This window comes from Homo sapiens, chromosome X (assembly GCF_000001405.40).
Source record: "Homo sapiens chromosome X, GRCh38.p14 Primary Assembly".
NCBI classification, from domain to species: Eukaryota; Metazoa; Chordata; class Mammalia; order Primates; family Hominidae; genus Homo; species Homo sapiens.
The window spans coordinates 105,539,121-105,562,009 of record NC_000023.11 but is presented as its reverse complement, the minus strand read 5'-3'; the positions used below and the strand labels follow the sequence as shown (position 1 = coordinate 105,562,009).

Sequence of the window (22,889 nt, the reverse complement as noted above, 5' to 3'; positions counted from 1 at the left end):
TGCCCATATCTACTTGTAAATCACAGGAACACTGAAGTGCTACTCCTCACAGTCAGCTTGTTTTCTACTCTAATCCTGAGATCCTCTGTTGACTTTGTACCTAGCTGGGTATTGTCCACTTGGTATTTGTGAAATCTATTTCCCTTTTCTATGCAAAACCCTGCACTGTCCACAAAGCTTCCCTGCTTTTTTTCTGCATAGCCATATTATTTTTAAGAAATATATTGTAGCAAAGGTCAAGAGACAAGGAGGGATTAGACATTTGCTCAGGGAATAAGCCAGGCTATTGTGCAGTGGCAAAATGAAGCATAGGCACTGTATCTACCTAATTGTGAGAGGAAACAGCTCTGAGGTTTGGCATTACTCATATATGCTTTATATGCATGACCTTCAAATGGCAGTAATGAATATCACTTTTTCTGTTGATAAATATTGATTCCTCTGTGCTGGTGGGAATCTCACGTTCATTTAGATTTGATAACTACCAGCTGTGACTTATTTAGAGCCTACATGGCCCTCAGCATGTATGGCTGCTTAGGTAATACCTGTTCTTACCCACTTACCAAGTCTAGGTCTGGGCTTTCAAAGAAAATATAGATCAAATAAGATTTCTGCCAGTTCAACAGCAGACAGGTGCTAATAATTTTTTTTTAAAGATTTCTTCAAGTGCTTCTTTACTTTAGACCTAGCTCCCAAGGTGAAGGGGAAACTTACTAGCTTCTGAAGGTGAGCTGTCAGCATTAATTTTTTGGCAACATCTTTATTAATGGTTAGCATCCACATCTCAGTGAACTTATGGTATAAGTGTGTCCCATCTCTCAGAGTACTGCAATACCCCAAAACTGTTCTAGGAGTCCAGGTTGTGGGTCATTTTATGGGTAAGACATTCTGCTACTGACATTTTTCTAAAGAATAGAATCTCTTTCTAATGTCTAAAACTGACTTGGTTTAGGAATGATGGATTCTTTGTCTCAAGCAAATTATGATGCACTAACTTTCATAACGTAATATCCTCCATGTTCACCCACATTGCTGTGAACGACAGGAATTTGTTCTTTTTATGGTTGAATAGTATTCCAGTATATACATATATGTATATAAAATATTCCAGTGTATATATAATATAAACATATTTTTAAATATACATAAAATGTACATATAAAATATATATGTATTATATATATATAAGTTTTTATCCATTCATTTGTTGATAAACAATATGTCACCGTACTCCATAAATATGTATAATTATTATGTGTCAATTACAAATTTTATAAAAGCCTACATGAGGCAGGCACAGGGACTCATGCCTGTAATTCCAGCACTTTGGGAGGAGGCTGAGGTGGGCGGATCACCTGAGGTAGGAGTTTGGGAACAGCCTGCCCAACATGGCGAAACCCCATCTCTACTAGAAATACAAAAAGTTAGCCGGGCGTGGTGGCAGGCACCTGTAATCCCAGCTACTCAGGAGTCTGAGTCAGGAGAATCACTTGAACCCGGGTGGCAGAGGTTCCAGTGAGCCAAGATTGCGCCACTGCACTACAGCCTGGGTGACAAGAGTGAAACTCCCTCTAAACAAAAATAAATAAATAAATAAAAACCCTACATGAAAAGAGATATCTTTGGGAGTAAAGTCCAGGCATCTAGCCAACAGTTAAAGAAAGAGAGGGGTGCAAGATGTCGCCCACAAGTAGGCATTAGTATTCTCTCTGTTCCCTTGAAATCTTGCCATAGAATATATCTTATTTGAGCTTCTAAGTTGGCCTAGCTCAGAACAACAGAGTCTTCACACAGACCCTTGAGGAGGTTACCTTCTTTAAAGGTGTAGTAAAGATCTCAGCTTGCACCTTGTTATGTCCACTGCTAGAGTTCAGGCAAGTTGGGATGGCTATGGTGCATTGGTAGAGTTAGTTTGCATGATGGCTGAAGGAAGAGAGAGGTTTTTGTCTAATTTTTTCAAAGGTTCCTGAGGCAATAAAGGGAGATGGAGAGGTCAAGACGGTGTCTGGTGCTCCACCCAGTCTCAAAGATTGGGATCTAAGCCCTATGGAGAGCAAAGTTGAAGGCAGAAGCCAAAGAAGCTATTTTTACAAGAGCAATAGAGAAAGACAATGACACAAGCAATGCTGCTTCAGTGCCCAGGTGACAAAATGCTATAAATAGGGGGCAGAATGGCATCCTCCCCATTTTTACCCAGAGTGGCACTGACACAGTGAAACCTAAAAAGATCGTGTTGTTTTGGCTCCTTACAAGGTATGTTACTTTGAAGAGTACAATAAAAGATTACCCCAAGCAAGAAATTATAGTCCCCCAAAATGGCATGGCAGCAGTGACAGCAGCCAAGTGATAGTTTCAAGTGTCTTCTTGTGGACTGACATCAGCAAAGGCCCAAAGTAGATGAATATAAGAATACTGTTTGTGAGCACATGTGGGGTACCTCCAGAGATTCCCCTATATAACTGGGTGACACTTTGGGGGAAGAGAGTAAAATGATCTTGAAATATGTGAGTGGAAATAACATGAGTAGAAATAAGAAGACAGTGATATTGGCATTTTTACAGCTAATGTGACCTTATTTGTAACCACAGCCTGAGGAAGTCTGAGGTATTCATACTGTATAACAAAGGTTAAGTCTCCTGATTCAGAACTTGTCAGATATGTATATGAGTGGGTTTATTTTATTGTATGTTTTTGTTTGTTTAGCAATAGAGATGGCTTTCTGATTAAAAATCCACAAACTCTCAATGAATCTCCCTTTTGGTCAAAAGTATACATTTGTGGCTATCCTAGTGGAAAAACATAAAGAATCACACCTGCAGCATTGGCCTCATTAATATGTTCCAACCATCTGAATTAACTGGCCATAATCCTGGGAAATAGTTTCCTTCTGAACTCTAGAAACCCAAAAGTCTCAGTAACATGATAAAAATAAGTTGGTTTACGAATAAAAATTAGAAGACTTTCTGAGTCAATGGCCCTAGGCTTAGAGGAGGCAATGTAAATTAAAGATAAATTTCTGCTCTGGGCAGGGATTAAAACTGTACCAAGACATAGAGTGGAATCTATGCCAAGGGAATGAAAAATGTAACAAAACTTGAGGTAAACAGATTTAATTAAAACACAAACTTCCCAAATCTATTTTGTGTGATTATTTGTTATTATTCTTAGGAGCTGATTAAGCAGTAGCAGATGTCACTAATACACAAATCTCATTACACATGTAAAATGTGTTCAGTATATAGAAGACCATGATTAGAAAATTTCTGAAAGATACTGCTAACTACTTCCTACTTGATTTGCAAGGAAAATTTTAATTTAGATTTTAGAAAGTACACAAAGTTTGAGTCAAAAGTTGGGTCACTTTCTGGAAAATCATGAAACCAAATTGAGCTTGTCCTTTTTATTCAGATAGATAAATATTTATTGAGTGTCTACATGGTCACAGAATTCAGAATAGAAAAATAATTATTTAACCAAGTTGGTCCTTGCCTTAAAGAACAAAAGGGGCTAAAAGATGAGAGTGGACTAAAGGAAGTCCTTCCCTTCTGGACAATCAAGAAGTTGCTTCACATAAACAACATTTGGGAATGAAGATAGTAGGAAAAGAAGATTGTGAGATATGTGCCTTCTGCTGTGGGGCACTTCTAGTATATTGCTTACATCTGAGTAGCGCTTATGTGCCACTCATGCTAAGGACTTTGAATGTGTTTACTTGTTACAACAACCCTGAAAGATATGTACTACTATTATCTCCATTTTACACGAAAAGATTTTGAGACACGAAAAGATTTTGAGACACAAAAAGTCACATTACTTGCCTAAGATCACAGGACCAACAAGTGATAGAAAGAACTGTGCCTTGAATCTAGCCAGTTTGACCCCAGAATCCACATTTTACCACCACACTATACTGTCTTTCAATATACCCAAGTATACTTGGGCTATGAGTTCTTAAATATTCAGAATTACCAGTTTGAATGAGCAAATGCCTTTTTTTTTAACCGGTTTGAAGGAGCAAATCCCTTTACTAAGTATATGTATTAAATAAAATATAAAGCATCCCAAAGAAGGTGTTATGCGTGCTTCATTCTTAACTTCTGAGACAAATGACAAAATAAAGGAGTGCAGATTTTTAGCAAGTCAACAGTTTTCTAGAATGCACAGCAATTTCCTATGAAAACATAACACATTTTTTTTCTACTGTCATGAACTATTCAAAATTATATGAATTGCCAATTAGAATTTTTTGTCTCTGGATTGGGGAGGGCGACTCTCCCTCTTACTCAGCATCGAGCTACAATTTAAATAAGCTTCAATGACATGGAAGTAGAGGCAATTACTGTTAATGTTTGGAGTTGTGCTCCAGGATGGAATAAGGAAGGGAGATTTTTTTGTATTGGTCCCCTTCTATTTCAAGGAAAGTGAATTGCATGAAGACTGAAAAGGAACAGTATAATTTGTTGCCCAAATTAAATGGTACTCACAAGACATAATTTTTGAATTAATGGAGACATAAGTATCAAGAACTTGCTTTCATTCCCTCTAAAACTACTATCATTTGTTTTTATTTGGAAATATGTAGATTCGAGGTATTTCTTTCAGGGTGTGGCAGAATGTAATATTTGTGTCAAAGACCATTACTTCTTTTAGATTCTCCACACACACACAAAAAGTTACTGGCTAGGATTACATTGTGTTATTCCTGTGTCTCTCTTTATTTCATTTAATAGACTTTGGGGCAATGGTCTCTAATCTTTCGAGAAATATGACATCTCACCACTAATAGAAATGCAGAGAAAGAGGGGGATTGTGAACAGAGGGATCCAAAGTTATAACATCTGCAGGATGGCTCTCTGAATCTTCTCTAACCCATAGTGCACAGTATGATATAATTCGCTTTTCTAAAATGTTATGAAAAGACTTTCGACTTCAAACAACCAGACAATAGACAAACTTATTTCCATATGAGAGATCAAAAGGAAATTTATAGCCCTATGCTTTGTAGCAATATAGCAGAAAAGCCATATGAAGCAGACCACTATGTTGTGTATTTTCCAGATTTTCTAAAGTAAGGAATGATTTACTAGTAAATAAGGATTTTTGCTGTCTCATGTTTCCTTATATTAGTTTATTTTTTGTATTTGTTTCTATAATATTCAGTTACTGACTAAATTATTTCAAACATATTTTTGATATCTATAAAAGAACAGGGTAAATCTTCCACTAAACATTAATAAAATGTGGTGAGCAAATTAAAACTAAAAACAGAACCTTTCCTAGAAAATGCTGATTACTAAGCCAGTCACATATGTGTCCTCAATTTTAAACCACAGTTGAGATTATTATTAATACTTAAAATTATTTTTGTATGCCACAGTGTTTATCAATAGAGACTACTATTTAACCAGTGTAATAAGGGAGTCTAAGGCAATGTAGTAATTTATATTCAACTTACATGGTATGATGGTATTGACAGTGGTATGATGGTGTTGGGGATGGTATGATGGTGTTGAGTATAGGCTGTGTTATTTTCATGAAGAATCTCAGGAGAAAAAAGCAGTTTGGCTTAAAGGCTCAAAAGATGGAGTTTTGTGTTCTAATTCCATTTTGTGGTTGATGGATGACTCTGAATAAATGTCTTATTTCTTGGATCTCAGTTTCCCTGTGGGAAAATAACATTAAATGGTGGTACTACCAAGTAGTTGTGGGTAAATAAGTCATTTAATAAAATTACTAAAATAAAACTTTGCAAGTATGCATCAAAAGCCTTACAAAATAATTTTAGAAAGGCCAAGGGAATAGGAGGTATACAAAGCTTCTCGTACTGTCCCCCTATGACACAGCAAAATTTGACAGTGATAGTCATTTATTTCATTAGCTCTTTCATGTAAGGCACAATCCTAAATTAGGGTGAGAGTGGACAGTAAATAATGCCTCTGGATTAAAGAAGGATAAACTAAATGACTAACATAATCTTGGCCTGTTTAATCACTTTTTCAAAGGCTTCTGAAGTCCAAATGATTTTACTGATCACTGACAACTAAAGGCACAACATGCAAATGAGAGATGAATAAAATAAGACCTGCATTTCAAGTTCACAAAGGGCTGAGGCATGCTCTTTAAAAGGGGAGAAAAAGGTCTTGTTCTCTGTCTGAAACTCCCAATAATCTTTCAGACAAAAGGACAACTCACAAATGTTTAGTTGCCCAGTGATGACAACCTAACATACCTCTCATTTGAAGCTGTAATCTCAAAAGCTTTTCTCCAAAACTAAAGCTCTGAGGTAACCTCATAGAATGATGTGGGTTGGTGTGTACAAAAAGACATTGCAAGACACTTGGAGTTTATCTGGATTTCAACTAACAAGGAACAATTATTGTCTGGAATTCTCTTTGATCAAAATGAGACTGCTAAGAAACTAGATTTTTATCCTAAGACATAGGGGGAAGCCAACTCTGAGGAATGACTGAGACCTTTCAGAAGGACTTCTTAGAACTTCCACTTACAGCCACGAAAGAGTAACTGGTACTGGACTCTCACCATAACCAACTAGGGAAGTGGATGAAAGATATGAAATAATGGTTTTCAAACTGAACAATAGACAACACAGGACTTTGATCCCTGAAAGAAGGGAAATAAGCAAGGCAACCCTGATAGTTACCTTAGCTTTCCACCTGGAGTCATTTTTGAACTTCAGAGCAGTGCAGGAGAACCCAAATAGAGCATGTTCGCCTTGCTGACTTGAAGAGACAGAGATTAAAGTTTGGGGAGGCTGAGGTACCTGAGATATGCAAAGCAGAGTGGTGGAGAAAACGAAGTTACTCAGAGAAATAGAAATAAATCTGCCTGGGAAACTCCTTAATCTTTGTCTTAATATTAAACTGCACTTGCATAGGGTAAAAATCTACAAGGCAAGAAAAAAAAAAAAAAAAACAACTACCAGAGAGCTGTAAACTGAGCAATCCCCAAAGCTTTACACAAGGCTTGAAAATGTTTGAGTTATGATCATCCAGAGTGGAGAGGCCTCCTTGAATGCCCAGGGCAATGAGTAGAGAATGTAGAAGGGTCTATGCTTAGTAATAAATGTCATGCTTACCTAGGAAAAAAAATCAGTCAATAGAAACAGATGTAGAAATCTGATAGAGATGACAGAATTATCATGTAAGAACTTCCAAACAGCTATTATAACTATGTTCAAGGATTTAAGGGAAAATATGAACATAACAGATACATAAATAGAAGATATAAAAATTAAATATATCTAGACCTTAAAAGATTAAAAATTCACTGGATGGTCAATATAAATTTCAATATGGCAGAAGAAGAGAACAATGAACTTTAAGATTGAGTAATACAGACTATCACAACTGAAAGATATTGAGGAAAAAAAAGCTGAAAAAAATTAAACAGATTATCAGCGACCCGTGGAACAATATCCAGCAGCTTAATATACATGTCATTGAAGCTCCAAAAATGTGGAGGGTGGGAACACTGAAAAATTATGTGAAGACATATTGGCTTAAAGTTTTCCAAATTTGATTAAAAGCATCAAACACAAATTTGAGAGTCAGTGAATCCCATGTAGAATAACCACAAAGAATACCACACCAAGATATATTATAATCAAAATTATAAGCAAAATTATATAAATTAAAAATTATTGTAATCAAAATTATAAGCAAAAAGCAAAAAGAAAAATTTTATAGTAGCCAGAGGGATAAATAAGTTTCCTTGCCTGCAGGGGCATTGTATTTCTAGAATCCTTGGTTAAAATGTAAATACTCTTGAGGAGAGAACACATTATATAGTACAAACTGTCCTGTGGAGGAGTTTCAGGATTCCTTAGAAATAGGCCATCTGATGTAGGGCAGGGCCCTATGGAGTGGGGCACAGATTACAGAAATATGAATAGGCCCTGGAGTGTGGGGCAGCTCCAAGTAATGTGTTACAAAGAGGAGAGGTAAGACATAACACCAGACATGTTGTATCAACTATTAAGACTGGACTCAGAATGACTGTGGTATCTTAGGCTAGGGGTCCTGGTTGGGTGGCTCAATGTTGAAGATAATGCTTTTCAAAATTGGGAAAGGACCTGTACAATTACAGAGTTAGATTTGTAAGGTCAGTCCTATTGAGGAAAAATAAGCTTATTTGCCCTTAGGCACTAAGCCTAAAATTTCCAAATCTTGCCCCCAAGTAATCAGTGGTACCTTGGGTTATGGAATATAAACCATCTGGTTGGGGCTGCTACAAGTATTCAAGACTAAGAGAGCAATAAAAAAATGAATTTCTCTATACTGTACATGAAACGTTTTGTTTTATAAAAATAAATTATTAAGATAATAGCATAAATATTAATTAACTGAACTCTTAATTTAAGTAAAGATATCATGTAAGGTAATTTTAAAATAAATATATATACCTAGAGACAAATGTTGTCTACGTTTGCTATTTAAACACACAGTGATTACTAATCACCTTGATTAATTGGACTTTCTTTTATATACCAGGAAGAAAATACATAACTTTAAAAAAGCACTGGGCATTAGCTCAGCCCACTCTAAGTCAGTCATTTGTACTTGTAGAGTTAAAATTCCTTTTAGCTACTTTCTCCTTTTCCCAGTGTTAGTTGTCCTAGTGAGTTTCCTCTTGATTGCTTACTGCAGATCCCAACATGCCCTCCTTCAGGTGGTTTCTGGGGCCTAATATAGATGGCTCTCTGCTTCAAAGCCGCTGCCAACTAATCACAAAGAAACTCCTGAAACATGCAGTCACTCATAATCCTTTGGGCCATGTTTTTCTATGATTATCTATTTTTTCTATCTTTACAACCACCCCACTATGGTTTATTCCCTCTCTAAGGAGACTCTAGATTGAGTGAGAGTTCCTTTTCACACAATAGCTAAAGATCACTTATTCACTAAGCTCTGCCACAGACAGTCTAGGAAAATCTACTAGGAAATTCTAGTTAAAACTTCTTCTTACAATTTTTTTCTTACTGTTAACTTTTCAGAAAACAATTTGGCATATATCAAAGCATTATGATAATATGATATTGGAAAATAAAACTTATTAGAGTATAAAGAATACTTAACACAATTTAAACTTAAAATGACTTTTAAATTAAATGATGTTCCAAATAAATTGTGTGAACTGTAATTGAAATTTTTTTTGTTATTGAACAAGTGCAATAATATGTTGATATTAAGTATTATAGACACGTATCTGTTAAAGTAACTGTATCTGTGGTAGCTGTTAAAACATGAAATCTCAACGGCTTAACACAATAGAAATGCATTTCGCACTTATTCAGAGACCCAGGCTGTGCCACCTTCAGCATATGGGTTCCAAGAATACTCTGGGATTCAGCATATAGCCAGCAGATGGAGGAAGACAGAGAGGACAGGATTAGGTGGGAGGTTTTTATGTGTCATGCCTGGAAGTAGCTTACATCATTTCCACTCACATTCCACTGGCCAAAAATTAGTCATATGGCCACACCTAAGTTTAAGGGAGACTCAAGAGTGCATTCTAGTTATGTGTATTCTAGATTTGCGAACGCAAAAAGGGAACAGAGTTTGATGTGTAATTAGACTCTCTCTGCCACAAGGTATAATTTTGGTGGGGAAAATGCAAGTGTGGTTAGTTACCAAGAAATGCTTGTTATACGTTTAAGAATACGACTTAACATATATTTATTAAATGCCTACTATGAGCCAGGCAGTTTGTTAAGCATTAAATTAGAGAGAAACTAGAATCTACTATCTTTCATCTTTTCATGGTACAATGAAGGAAAATACACATAAGCTGATTTTTGCCATTCAGAATGATAAATATTACAAGAGAGTTAAGTATAGGGAATCAAAATCTTGTCTCCAAAGGGAAATCTTTTTTTTTTTTTTTTGAAATGGAGTCTGGCTCTGTCGCCCAGGCTGGAGTGCAGTGGCGCGATCTCGGCTCACTACAAGCTCCGCCTCCCAGGTTCATGCCATTCTCCTGCCTCAGCCTCGCGAGTAGCTGGGACTGCAGGCGCCCGCCACCACGCCCAGCTAATTTTTTTGTATTTTTAGTAGAGACGGGGTTTCACCGTGTTAGCCAGGATGGTCTCGATCTCCTGACCTTGTGATCCGCCCGCCTCGGCCTCCCAAAGTGCTGGGATTACAGGCGTGAGCCACCGCTCCTGGCATCCAAAGGGAAATCTTCTAATTTACTATTTCCCTATGCTTTAGCCCAGGAGAGTTAACATTTTTCATTGCATATTAATGAAATGTAACCTGGATAATTAGGGGGAAGATAACTTATAATGTTTATCACTTTCTTGCTGCATTGTGGTCATTTTTATTTGCAGCCCAGCAGCTTTATATACTTTATAGGACTAAATTCTTGCTTATTTAACATTCACTGAACATTCTGCTTTATATGCCTTATCAATATTTTTAAGTACATTTAATAAAAATTTATATTAGCTCCTGAATAGATTTTTTCAGGCTGCTGCTTTGAGAGACATGGAGGCAGCTAGGGGTGGGAAGTTGTTCTACTGAAATGTCCACAGGTGAAAGAAAAATAACATCATAAGTTTAATAAAATCGTTCTTATCAAGAATGGAACATCTGAGGTTCTTAAAGTTAAAGGCCTCATTTACCTTCATTATAAAGGAATGAGGCGTATGTGAAGACTGGGTACTAATGTGTTTTTTTTGTTGTTGTTGTTTTTTTTTTTTTTGGTAAAGTGCATGGATTCTCTTCCATTCCATTAGCATCAGTGATACTTTTAATGGTAAGTATGTTCAAGACATAATGGGATCCTGAAATTTTGAGTAAAAATCTTCCTTCAGGCAATTTCTCCGCTGCCCTTTAAAACTACCTTAGAGTTGTAGAAAGAACATTAGGCTGGGTATCAGGAGAAAAATTATTATAGACCTGTTCTACCACTATTCACTGTAAAAACCTGGACAGCATGCCACTTAATTTCATCTGGCTTCACTCTGGTTTCGGAATGTGAAAAGTATACTGAATCATGTTAGTCACATATGTATGTATGTATGTATTTATGTATGTATGGAAATGTAGTATGAGGGTTTTCTAGAATGCATATGTTACTTCTTTTAGTATAAAATTTATCACAAAATTGATATGTTTAATATATAGAATATGGTGATGCCAAATAAAAATTATCTGTAATCCCATTATAGAGACAACCACTCTTTGTGGTATATCCTCCCAGACATTTTGTCCCATGGTAAATACTAACTCTTAGAATCTTTGACAATTTAGTATGCCCTGTGACCATATCTGCATTTAAAAAATCTCTTTTCTGCTCATTGAAATTACATTCCATTTTGGGAAACGACCTACAAGCAACCAGAGGAGTATTTCTTTCATTATCAGTACTAGAGGCATCAGCTATTTTCAGTTTGAAAGACTCTGTGAGTTTGCAACAAAAAGAAAGAGAACACACTGATGACTTCAGGGTAAGGGACAGGGATTGTATGGATAGGGCTGTAAATAATATTAAAGCTAGTGAAATGACCTGGATGGGACAGAAAGATTTATTTCATAGTTTATCTCAACACTCTTGGGAGATAGACAGTGGAATATAGACTTAGTGTTCAATTCCATCCCTTTTTATTGAGTCAGGGGATGTTTAAAAAAATTTATTGAGCTCTTTGAAAGTCAGCATTTTTAATAAGTGGCACTGAGAAAAGATTACACTGAAGAAGATCCAGGTGACAATACAGAACATAAGACATGAGGGAATTTATAACGGCTAAGCTAATTGTGGTGGAGGACACTCAGGAAGGCAGACCCCAGGGAATTATCTGCTCATCTTCCTGACTACTGCCTATTCACCTGCCTCTCCCTCTTTATTAATGGCAATTTCAGAGTTCTCGGGTCCTATCTCCTGGAAAGAAGGTGCAGTGAAAAAGCCTTTGCTTTGTAAAGCAGTGCCATTCCCACACCCAGTAATCACTCCTAACATATAAATATATCTCAGTATAAAGCCTGGCAAGTTTCACAAACTTTGGAAACTAAGAGAATCCCACATTTTAGGGAAGCATCTAGAAAAGCAATAAAAATAATTGAAGAAATGGAAAACTGAACCTATGAAGAAAGATTTAATAAAGAAGTTGGCCGGAATGACTGCAGCCTAAGATTTAGAATTAGAGACGGATTCTAGGTTCAGGTCTCTGAGTAATTCTGGGCTTCGGGAGTTAAGAAATGTTGCAGGTTAGGTTCTGTGGAGTAGATACTGTGAAGAAATTTGGCATCCTGGGTTTTTAGGATGTTTATACCTATGAAAGGTAGTGGGAGGGAGCAGGAGTGAACAAGTTGAGAAAAACTACCATGCAGATAAACCACATATGGAGTTCTAGAGTATATATGGCTCATCAGCACATTTCATATTGGACTCAGATGGATGGGCCTCTATACCACCATTACACTTAGTCATTGGATAGGAAGGATAAGCCCATGGGTACAACAGTTCTCTGTAGCCAAGACAAACCGTGAAGGGAGGTGACAACAGGAGGCTGTCTGCTCACAACATTCCATATACGGTCCAACAAGTTCTACCTTTAAGAGGTTTCTGGGCAGCACATCTCTCTGCCCACAGCAACAGGGAAATGAGGGGGAAAAATTAGATGAAGGTTAAGGTTTCTATAATTCCTAACAACTTGTTGATTTAAGAATAATGACATATAACAAATTTCATAACAAATTGGGTCATTTAAAGAATTAATCTTTGTTGCTGAAAGAATAACTGCCATATGACAGATAAAAATATTCCAGTCATTGCTATTAACTTGGGGACTATGATTCAATTAGTGATAAACACATATACACATACACACACCTCATCTGTGCACATCAGGAAATAAATAATATGATACTTCATACTGGGATTTGGAAGACAGCACACTAACTGCGTGTTTACCATACACAGAAAGGACCAAATCTAAGGCATTGAGTTTATTTTACATAACGGCATGAAAAACTCAAGTTGAATTTATGGATGATCTTCCTAACAACATATTTGAATCATTCTGGATCATCAAAAGAGGACGCTCAGTTAAAACCCATATGTTTAGAATATATTTGGAAAAGAATGATACAATAAGGTGAAGAGACGTAAAAAAGATTGATAATGCTAATAGCTACCATTTATTTGCCATTTACTATGTGTCTAAGACCGTGTTAATCCATTTACATATGTTATTCTATATAACTCACATAGCAACCTATGAAGTAGCAATTATTATCCCCACTTTACCTATGAAGAAGCAGGACCGAGATCAAACAGTAAGTGGTAGAGTGTGGATACTTATCCAGGTGCTCTGATTCCAGAGCCTACAGTCTTAGCTACATCCTATACTGCTATCACATCAAAGAGGGATTTGGATTTGCTCTCTATGACTTCAAGAAATAAAATGACAAAACTCCAGAAGGCCTTACACAATCTTTTTGCTGCCTATTTCTCCAACACTATTTTATAATGCCTTCCACTTTGTTCACTTTGCTCCAGCTATACTGGCTTGGAACAAATAAAGTTCTTTCCACCTCAAGGCTTTTGTCTATGCTGTTTACTCTGCCTGAAATGTTCTTTTCCTCACTCTTCACCTGTCTAATCTTTATGCCACTTCTTCAAGTAAGCATTCCCTGACCTACCTCCTCCAGACTAGTTTGGATGTTCCTGGTATAAGTGTTCATGGTTCCCTTGACTCCTTCAAGGCATATATATATAATTTCAATATATATATATTCAAAATGTATTTGTTTGTTTTCTTATTTATTGTCTGTCTCCCTACAGTAAATTATGAATTTCATGACAGCAAGGATCACATCTGTTTTATTCACTATGTTTTTCTATGCTATTTGGTGCTTAACATAGTAGGTGCTTGTTTGCTGGCTAGCCAGGTAGACAGCTGTGTGCTTGGATGAAAAACTGTCACCAATGAATGCAAGTTACCAGAAGCCAGAGTTGAACTCTGATAAAATAGGCTAATTTAGAAGGCACTAAACTTCTTTTCATCAGAGATGTTCAAACAAAAGATGGATAGCCACAATAACAGAATGTGACAGATTACTTAATAGCCACAAATTTTCCCTATCCTTGCATGCATTGTGACTTTTCCACTTCTCTCATCAAGAGATAGAATCTGTTTCTCCATCTTGAAGCTAGGCTTGGTCATGCGATTTGTTTTGCAAAGAGATATTAACAAACATGACAAGTAGAGACTTACAAAGTATGTGCACATTGAAACTTGCCCTCTCTTGAAACACAGTCCCACCATCTGAAGTTTGAAATAACCTCTTTGAGAATGAGAACCACTTGGGAAGGGATGCAGCCAACAGTCAGTACTAGCCACAGGACATATGAATGAGCCCAGATTAGACAATTACTCGATGGTAGAGCCACCAAATCACTGCAGTCACATGAGTGAGCCCAGGTGAATCCAGAAGAACTGCCTAGCTAAGCTTGGCCCAAATTGGTGACCCACAGAATCATGAGCAAAACTGTGCTGGATGTTTTAAGCCCTATATTTTTGGAAAGTTGGTTAGATAGTAACAGCTGAATTAGGGGATGCTGTAGTGGGTCTTCTAGTAACAAGTAAAGGGGTTTACTAGGTGATCTTAAATGGCTCTTTTAATCTTCAGAATCTATGATTGTAATTCACATCTTTTTCAAACACTCAAATGACATTTGAAATGGCTAACAAGTCCCTTTGTATTAAAAATGTACGATAGAGGTTATTCACCCATTTGTTTGGATTTACTATACATTTCCGAATTAAAGATGCATTTCAGCATTTGATTTGTACTTAAAGCTCACATTATTTTAAATACATTCTCTAAATCCTTCCTAGCAAGCAAAATAACATTTATGCTAAAATCTGCCTCATGGCCTGTTCTATGTCTTCATGTACAGACTGCAGGAGGTATAATTCATCTATAAAAGGCAGCTGAAATATGCACTGCTTTGAATTGTTTTATTATTGTGCACGAGGGACTGGAGGAGAAAATTAACTGCCGTATGCTGCCTCTTTCAAAGTATCAGATGGATAATAATAAAAGAGAAAATGTATAAAATCATTTAAAGCCATTTTAGGACCATACGTTCAACTTCACTGACAATAATCAACTAATATATTTCAGAAAATAGAAGTGGTGAGAGTATAATCCTGCTCATTATATTGGGTGTTAGACTTCAAATAATTTGAAAATCTTATGAATATATAGCAAACGTAGTTTGTAACTAGCGATAACTAGGCATCTGATAAAGATGAATTCCATTACTCATGGGGCATGTTTCTCCTCTTTTTGCCATAACTAAAGTCTTTCCTCCTTCAAAGGTCAGGCAACAAACCTGTAGTTTTCAGCAGATCCTCCTAGATATACTACAATTCATCCAGATTCCTCCCTCCCATTATGCCCACCCAATTCTGTACTTGTCCCATAGATATATTAATAGGTGGTGATTATTATTTTCTTTAAAAAAATCACCATCACCATAGGATTTCTTTAAACAGCAGGAACCCCTAGTGATACCTTTCTTATTTTCCTTCCTCCTTCTCTCCATTTTAATGATCTCATTGTATTGTTTGTGTTTATTTGCATGTCTGTTTTCCTAAATAAATATGGAATTCTCGAGGATGTATGAATAATGTTACTTGGGATATTAGATCGAAAGATGGTACATATTAGGTTCTGAAGAAATTACCCGAATGAAGGAATAAATGTAAACTACTATGTTAATTAGATCATTATCTTTACATTCAACAAATACCACATGAAAAGCAGTAGGAATCTGTGGTATTGCTTCTTCCATTCTTATTCTTTCCCACTGCGCCCCCAACCCCATCTCAGCCAAGGCATAAATTTTATTAGGGTGTGGAAGGCCGTGAGAACTGGAAGCTGTTCTGCCACTATCAAAGGGGGCTCACCTGATTTGGAAAAGTGAGCACTGGCAACACCCATGCCCAACCGTGTTGTCAGTGGAAGTGATCATCTTGGACACAAGGTGAGTAAGAAAATCTAACAGCTTTACTAACTAGAGGCTGCAGTCATGGTTGGGATAAACATAACTCTGGAATGGAGGCCCAAGCTAGCTACACACTTCTGGCAAACCCTGAGGCTGCACACATGGTAACATACTTCTCAGAAGCAGATTTTGATAAGATGTGAAAGGGCCCAGAAGAAAGTAAAGTCTGCACAGCCTGCACTTTGAAGAAAAAGGAATCCACATCTAGATATATCATAAGCCAATCACTGAAAACAAAATACAAAGAGAAAATCTTAAAAGCAACAAGAGAAAGAAAAAAACTCATAACATATAGGTGAGCATCAATATAATTAAGGCTGACTTCATAATAAACAATGAAGGCTAGAATTACATATTCAAAGCGATAAAAGAAAAAAATTAGCCAACAGAAGAAGACACATAGACATTGCACTCAGCCCAATTCTCGCATGGCTTCCTTAAAAAGTTTTCCTTTTAAAACCCCTGCCTCTCCCACAAAAAATCAAAGTGATTAATTTGGATAAGAATCTGGCTACTTCCCGTTTACTAGTTTTGGTTAATAGTCACTTTCTTTCTACCAGATGTTGCTCTTGTTAATTGCACTCTGCAAGTGGTAAGCATCTGGACCTGCATTTCATTACAAAACTACCAAAACAGAATTCTATATCCAGTGAAACTATCCTTCAAAAATGAAGGCTAAATAAGGATGTTCCCAGATTAATAAAGACTGAGAGAATTTGCTGTTAGCAAATCTACCTTCTAAGAAATACTAAAGGAAGACCTTCAATGCTGAAAGGAAATGACACCAGATCCAGAACTACGGGAAGAAATGTAGAGCAACGGAAAAGGTAAATACGTAGGTTAATAATAAAACACTCTATACTTTTTTTAAAGATTAAGATTACATGAAGCAATAATTACAACACAGCATTTCTAGGTTGGTCATATATAGATACAATATATATGACAGCAACAATACAAAAAAGAGGGAGAACTTACTGTTGCTAAATTGCTATATTTTTCTGAAATTATGTTAGTATTAATCTGAAGGAGGTTCTCGTTAATTAAGATTCATATTGTAATCCCTAGAGCAACCATTAAGAAAATAACTAAAAATTAGCTAAATATCTACAGGGGAATTAAATTGGTGCACACACAAAAAATATTTAACTGAAAAGAATGCAGTGAAGGGAAACAGAAACAACAATCAAAAAAGAAAGAAAGAAAGAGGAAGGAGACATATAAAAAAACAGTAAAATAAGAAATGTTAATCCAACCAAATCAGAAATTATCTTAAACATGAATTAGCTAAATTCCCAAATTAAAAGGCAGATATTATCATATTAGGTTTTTTAAAAGCAAGATAGAATGATCTGCTGTTTACAAGAGTGACACCTTAGATGCAAAGACATAAATAGATTGAATATAAAAGGATCTGAAAAGGTACACCATGCAGCCAGTAACCATACTGACTCTGAGATACAGAACAGTGCAAAGTTGTCTGCTTTCGCCACTTCTATTGAACACTGTACAAGAGATCCTAGCTAAGGCAATAAGAAGAAAGAAAAAAAAAGAGAAGAATCAAAAGAAAGAAAGAAGGAAAAAACTTAAGACATTCAGATTGAAAAGGAAGAGGTAAATTTGTCTTTCATCTGCAAATAAACAAATCTAAAAAGAGATATGGAATCTACAAAAATATCTATAACTAATAAATACATTTTAAGTTGTAAGATGCAAAAATTAATATACAGAAAAATGTATATCTAAATAATAGCAATGAATAAGCCAAAATTAAAATTAAGAAAACAATTCCATTCATAATATTATCAAAAGAATAAAATACTCAGGTATAAATCTATCAAAAGTAGTACATGACTTAGAAAACTACAAAATGTTGTTGAGAGAAATTAAAGAAAATATATACAAATGGAAACACACTCCATGCTCATGAATTAGAAGACTCAACATTTTCAAAATGGCAATTTTCCCCAAAATGATTTAAAAAGTCAACGCAACCTTTATCAAAATCCCAGTGAGCTTTTTAATAGAAATTGACATGTCTATTCTAAAATTTATACGGAAATGAAAGAGACCCAGAATAGCCAAAACAATCTTGAAAAAGAATACTTTTGGAGGACTCACACTTTCTGATTTCAAAACTTACTATAAAGCCCTAGTGTGGCATTATCACAAGAAAAAACATAGATTTAATGGAACAGAAATGAGAGTCCAGAAATAAACCTTTACATTTATGTTTAGTGAATTTTTGATTAAGGTACCACAAGAAGCACAAAAATTCACTCAAAATGAACTATAGACATGTGTAAAAGTTAATCTCCCATTCTTTGCTTAACTCACAGTAGGTGTTCTGTCACTGCTGTGGTCTTTCTTGGCTTCAGATGTCTCAGGCTGATTATGCAGAAAAGTTCACAGCCTCAGCCAGCCCTCCAGGTTATGTGAAAACCAATGCCATCTAGAAAAGAACTTGTAAAGGACCTCATTGTATCTCACATTCAGTGCATTTCACCACTCCAATGTTCTATGAATGGATGAGGAAGCCACTGTGTGAGGTATAGGGAAAAACAAGCAGCATTCATATTCAGATTTATTCTCCAACTCCATAGGAATCATTTAAATACTTTTTCAACCTATTTGATGCACTGCTTTTGAGTTGTAGATATTTTTAAATGACCATATTTATTTTCTCTGGTTTCTTACAGGGCTGGGCCATACAGTATGTACTCAAGATTTAGTAGTTAATTGACTGATTGAACTTTATAGGTGAGTTTTCACAGGTTTTACATGAGATAAGATGCCAGGCCACTTCCTTGGAAACATATATACAAAAGGAGCTACTGTGCCATGGTTCTATAAAAGGGCAGTATTTACTTACAGAGAGAGCAGTGTTACAAATTCTTCTCAGAAGTCTGAAGATGTTTCTCTCCCCAGTGAACTAATATACTTATTTCATTAAACAGTGGTAGTTATGTAGTGTAGTATAGTAGTTAAATAGAGGATACTATGGAGCCAGATTGCATGCATTTTAATCTCAACTTCTCCAATTCCTAGATTGAATTTAAATCCTGAGTTCTCTACTCACTCTATGCTTCAGTTACCTCATTTATAAAAGAGGCATATAAGAGAATCTATTTTATGGCGTGAACCCGGGAGGCGGAGCTTGCAGTGAGCCGAGATCCCGCCACTGCACTCCAGCCTGGGCGACAGAGCGAGACTCCGTCTCAAAAAAAAAAAATAATAAATTAAATAAATAAATAAATAAATAAATAAATAAATAAATAAAAAATATAAAAAATAAAAAAAAAAGAGAATCTATTTTATAGGATTGTTGTGAGGATTAAATGACAAATAGGAAATGTTAAACAAATGTTAGTGATCCCACCCTTTCTCTTCCACTACACCTCTGGGAAAGGGGAAGAAAGGACAAAAAACTGCAAAGAGATTTTCACAGTGTTATTGGTGGTATAGAGATGGTATATAGTCTAGCTTCTTAAAACTAAACATTGAAAGCAATTTGTATAGTCTGTTTTCCATAGAAGCCAAGAGGGGGGTTTATTCTACGTTCTTTGAAGAGAGATAACTAGTCTGGCTGACTACAACAGGCTGTGTCACACAGTCTACAGTTATTGATTGTGCCACACAGCCCTACATTATTGATCTTTAAATGTAGCATCATATATAAAATAGTATAAAGCTGTGTGTTATTCACCTTTCTATCCTCAGTGGCTAATACAATGCTCTCTTACAATGCTCTCCACAAGAGAAGTACAGATACAATATTACGGAAATTCAGAGGAGAGAAATTACTAACAACTTGAGCAGGTGGAAAAGCATTGAAGCTTGGTAGAGAAGATGGTGGAACTGTGCAGCATTGAGACATGTCCAGTTGGAGAGATATGAAGCTGGGTGAAAGTAGTACAAGAGGAGGCAACTGAATGTACAACGGCAAAGAGAAAGAAGAATCAGTGGATGTGCAGAGGAAAGAGTGTGCAGGGAGGTATGACTCATCAAGAGGGAGCTAAAGGATACAAAGACAGCAAACGCAGGTTAAATTTCCTGGTGTGGGGGTGGTGGGAATGATAGTGGCTTGAACTACCCTACTATAAAGTTTGGATTTCATCCTGTGGGTAACAGAATGACTGAAGGTTTTTGGAGAAGGATATGGTGTGATCAGAGCTGTGCTTTAGAAAGATTAAGCTGGTGTAGAAAAAGGTTGAGAGAAGGGAAGGGAAAGAAAAGACTAATTAGGAGGTTGTTTAATCGTCCAGGCAAGAGGTAACTTGGGCTAGAACCAGGGAAGAGGAAGTGGGGAATGCAAAGTAGGGGCAGACCCAAGAGAAATTTCAGGAGGAAGCAGAAAGGAGGATTTGATAATCTCTTACATCCCTCCTCTTCTCAGGCTAGGACACAGCTCAGTATTCAATGCTCTCTACAATCTGCCCCAACTACTTTGTCCAGATTTACCTTTCCCTAAGCATGTCATATGCCTCATTCTCCAAACTGCACTGGATCACATTCTTTTCTTCAAAGACAATCTGTACTTTTCCACTTACTCTCCTTTTCTTCAAGGATAATCTATCTGTACTTTTCCACTTACTCTCCTTATCTCCAAATATACAAATCTAACCTACCCTTAAAAGTCCACCTCAAGTGCCATCTCTTCCATCAAATGTTCCTGACTCTCCTCCAGCCATAATTAACTTCTCGCTCCTCTGTTCATCCACTTACGCTTTGTGGGACATGGTAAATACTTCAGCTTTTTCTCCAAGTTCAGTAGAAATCCACTTAAGACTTTTAAGCAGCAGAGTAATATGATTTGATTTACATTTTTAAACAACCATTTCTATTGCTCTTTGGGTAAACTAGGTATAGGAATGTTGAATCAAGACCAGGTAGGAAGCTATTGCCCTAGTTCAAGCAAGAGATGATGGTGACCTGACTAAGCAAATGGCAATATATATGAAGAAAAGAGGGCTGATTTTATATATATATATATAATCTAACATATAATCTATATTTATATATCATATATAATATATGTATATATTATATATCATATATAATATATGTATGTATTATATATCATATATAATATATGTATGTATTATATATCATATATAATATATGTATGTATTATATATCATATATAATATATGTATATATTATATAACTAATATATTTATATTATATATATATATATATATTCCAAGAAGCAGACTACTCATGTAGGAGGTAGATTTGGAAAAGCAAAGGTAAGGAGTTTAATTTTTATTTTGAGATACCTATTTATACACAAAATGAAGATGTTAGTGGGCAGTTAGATATGAGTCAGAAATTCAACGGAGCAGAATGAGGTGGAGAAAAATATTTTGGAATCAATGGAATAAAATGATAATCAAAGTCATGGGACTACATGAGATTGCTTAGAGAGAGAATCTCCCTCTTCCCTCTAGTAGTCCCCAGTGTCTATTCTTGCCATCTTTATGTCCACGAGTACCCAATATTCAGCTCCCACTTGTGAGAACATGCAGTAATTGGTTTTCTGCTCCTGCTTTCACTTAGGATAATGGCCTCCAGCTGCATCAATGTTGCTGCAAATGACATGATTTCATTCTTTATGGCTGCATACTATTCCATGGCGTATATATGCCACATTTTATTTATTCGATCCACTGTTGATAGGCACCTAGGTGGATTCCATGTCATTGCTATTGTAAATAATGCTGTGATTACCTATGAGTGCATGTGTCTTTTTGGTAGAATGATTTATTTTCTTTTGAATATATACCTGATAACAGGATTGCTGGGTCAAATGGTAGTTCTGTTTTAAGTTTATTGAGAAATTCAAAATTGCTTTCCACAGTGGCTAAATTAATTTACATTCCAACTAACAGTATATAAGCATTCCCTTTTCTCTGTGGCCTTGCCAGCATCTGTTGTTTTTTGGCTGGCAGAATGACTATAATAATAGCCATTCTGACTAGTGTGAGATGGTATCTCACAGTGGTATTGTGGTTTTGATTTGCATTTCTCTAATGATTAGTGATGCTGAGCATGTTTTCATGTTTGTTGACTGCTTGTGTGTCTTCTTTTGAGAAGTGTCTGTTCATGTCTTTTGTCCACTTTTTAATGGGATTTTTTGTTTTTTGCTTGTACAATTGTTTAAGTTCATCACACATTCTGGATATTAGAACTTTTTCAGAGGTATAGTTTGCAAATATTTTCTCCCATTGTGTAGATTTTCTGTTTACTGTTAATAGTTTCTTTTGCTGTGCAGAGCTCTTTAGTTTAATTAGATACCACTTGTCAATTTTTGGTTTTGTTGCAATTGCTTTTGGAACCTTTGTCATAAAATCTTTGCCAGGACCTATGTCCAGAATGGTATTTCCTAGGTTTTCTTCTACGATTCTTACTGTTTAAGGTCTTAAATTTAAATCTTTAATCCATCTTGAGTTAATTTTTGTATATGGTGTAAGGAAGGTATCCAGTTTCATTCTTCTGTATGTGGCTAGCCAGCTATCCCAGCGCCATTTATTGAATAAGAGGTCCTTTCCCCATTGCTTATTTTTGTCTACTTTGTCGAATATCAGATGCTGTCAGTATGATTTTCTGGGTTCTCTATTCTGTTGCATTGGTCTATGGGTCTGTTTTTGTACCTATACCATCCTATTTTTGTTACTGTAGCCATACAGTATAGTTTGAAGTCAGGTAATGTGACGCCTCAGGGTTTGTTCTTTTTGTTTAGGATTGCTTTGGATGTTTGGGCTCTTTTTTGGTTCCATATGAATTTTGGAACATTTTTCTGTGAAAAATAACATTGGTAGTTTGATAGGAATAGCACTGCATCTGTACTT

General features: G+C 36.0%; 1 protein-coding gene and 1 long non-coding RNA gene across 3 annotated transcripts in view; one reads left to right on the top strand and one right to left on the bottom strand.

Moving 5' to 3' along the window:
- IL1RAPL2 (interleukin 1 receptor accessory protein like 2) overlaps positions 1–22,889 on the bottom strand; it is a 1,201,631-nt gene that overhangs the window by 205,820 nt on the left and 972,922 nt on the right. The window lies entirely within an intron of this gene.
- Positions 10,743–21,001, top strand: LOC107985680 (uncharacterized). The gene is made up of 4 exons (XR_001755940.2): positions 10,743–10,776; positions 15,885–16,865; positions 18,738–18,798; positions 19,759–21,001. It is a non-coding gene; the product is annotated as an uncharacterized LOC107985680 (long non-coding RNA).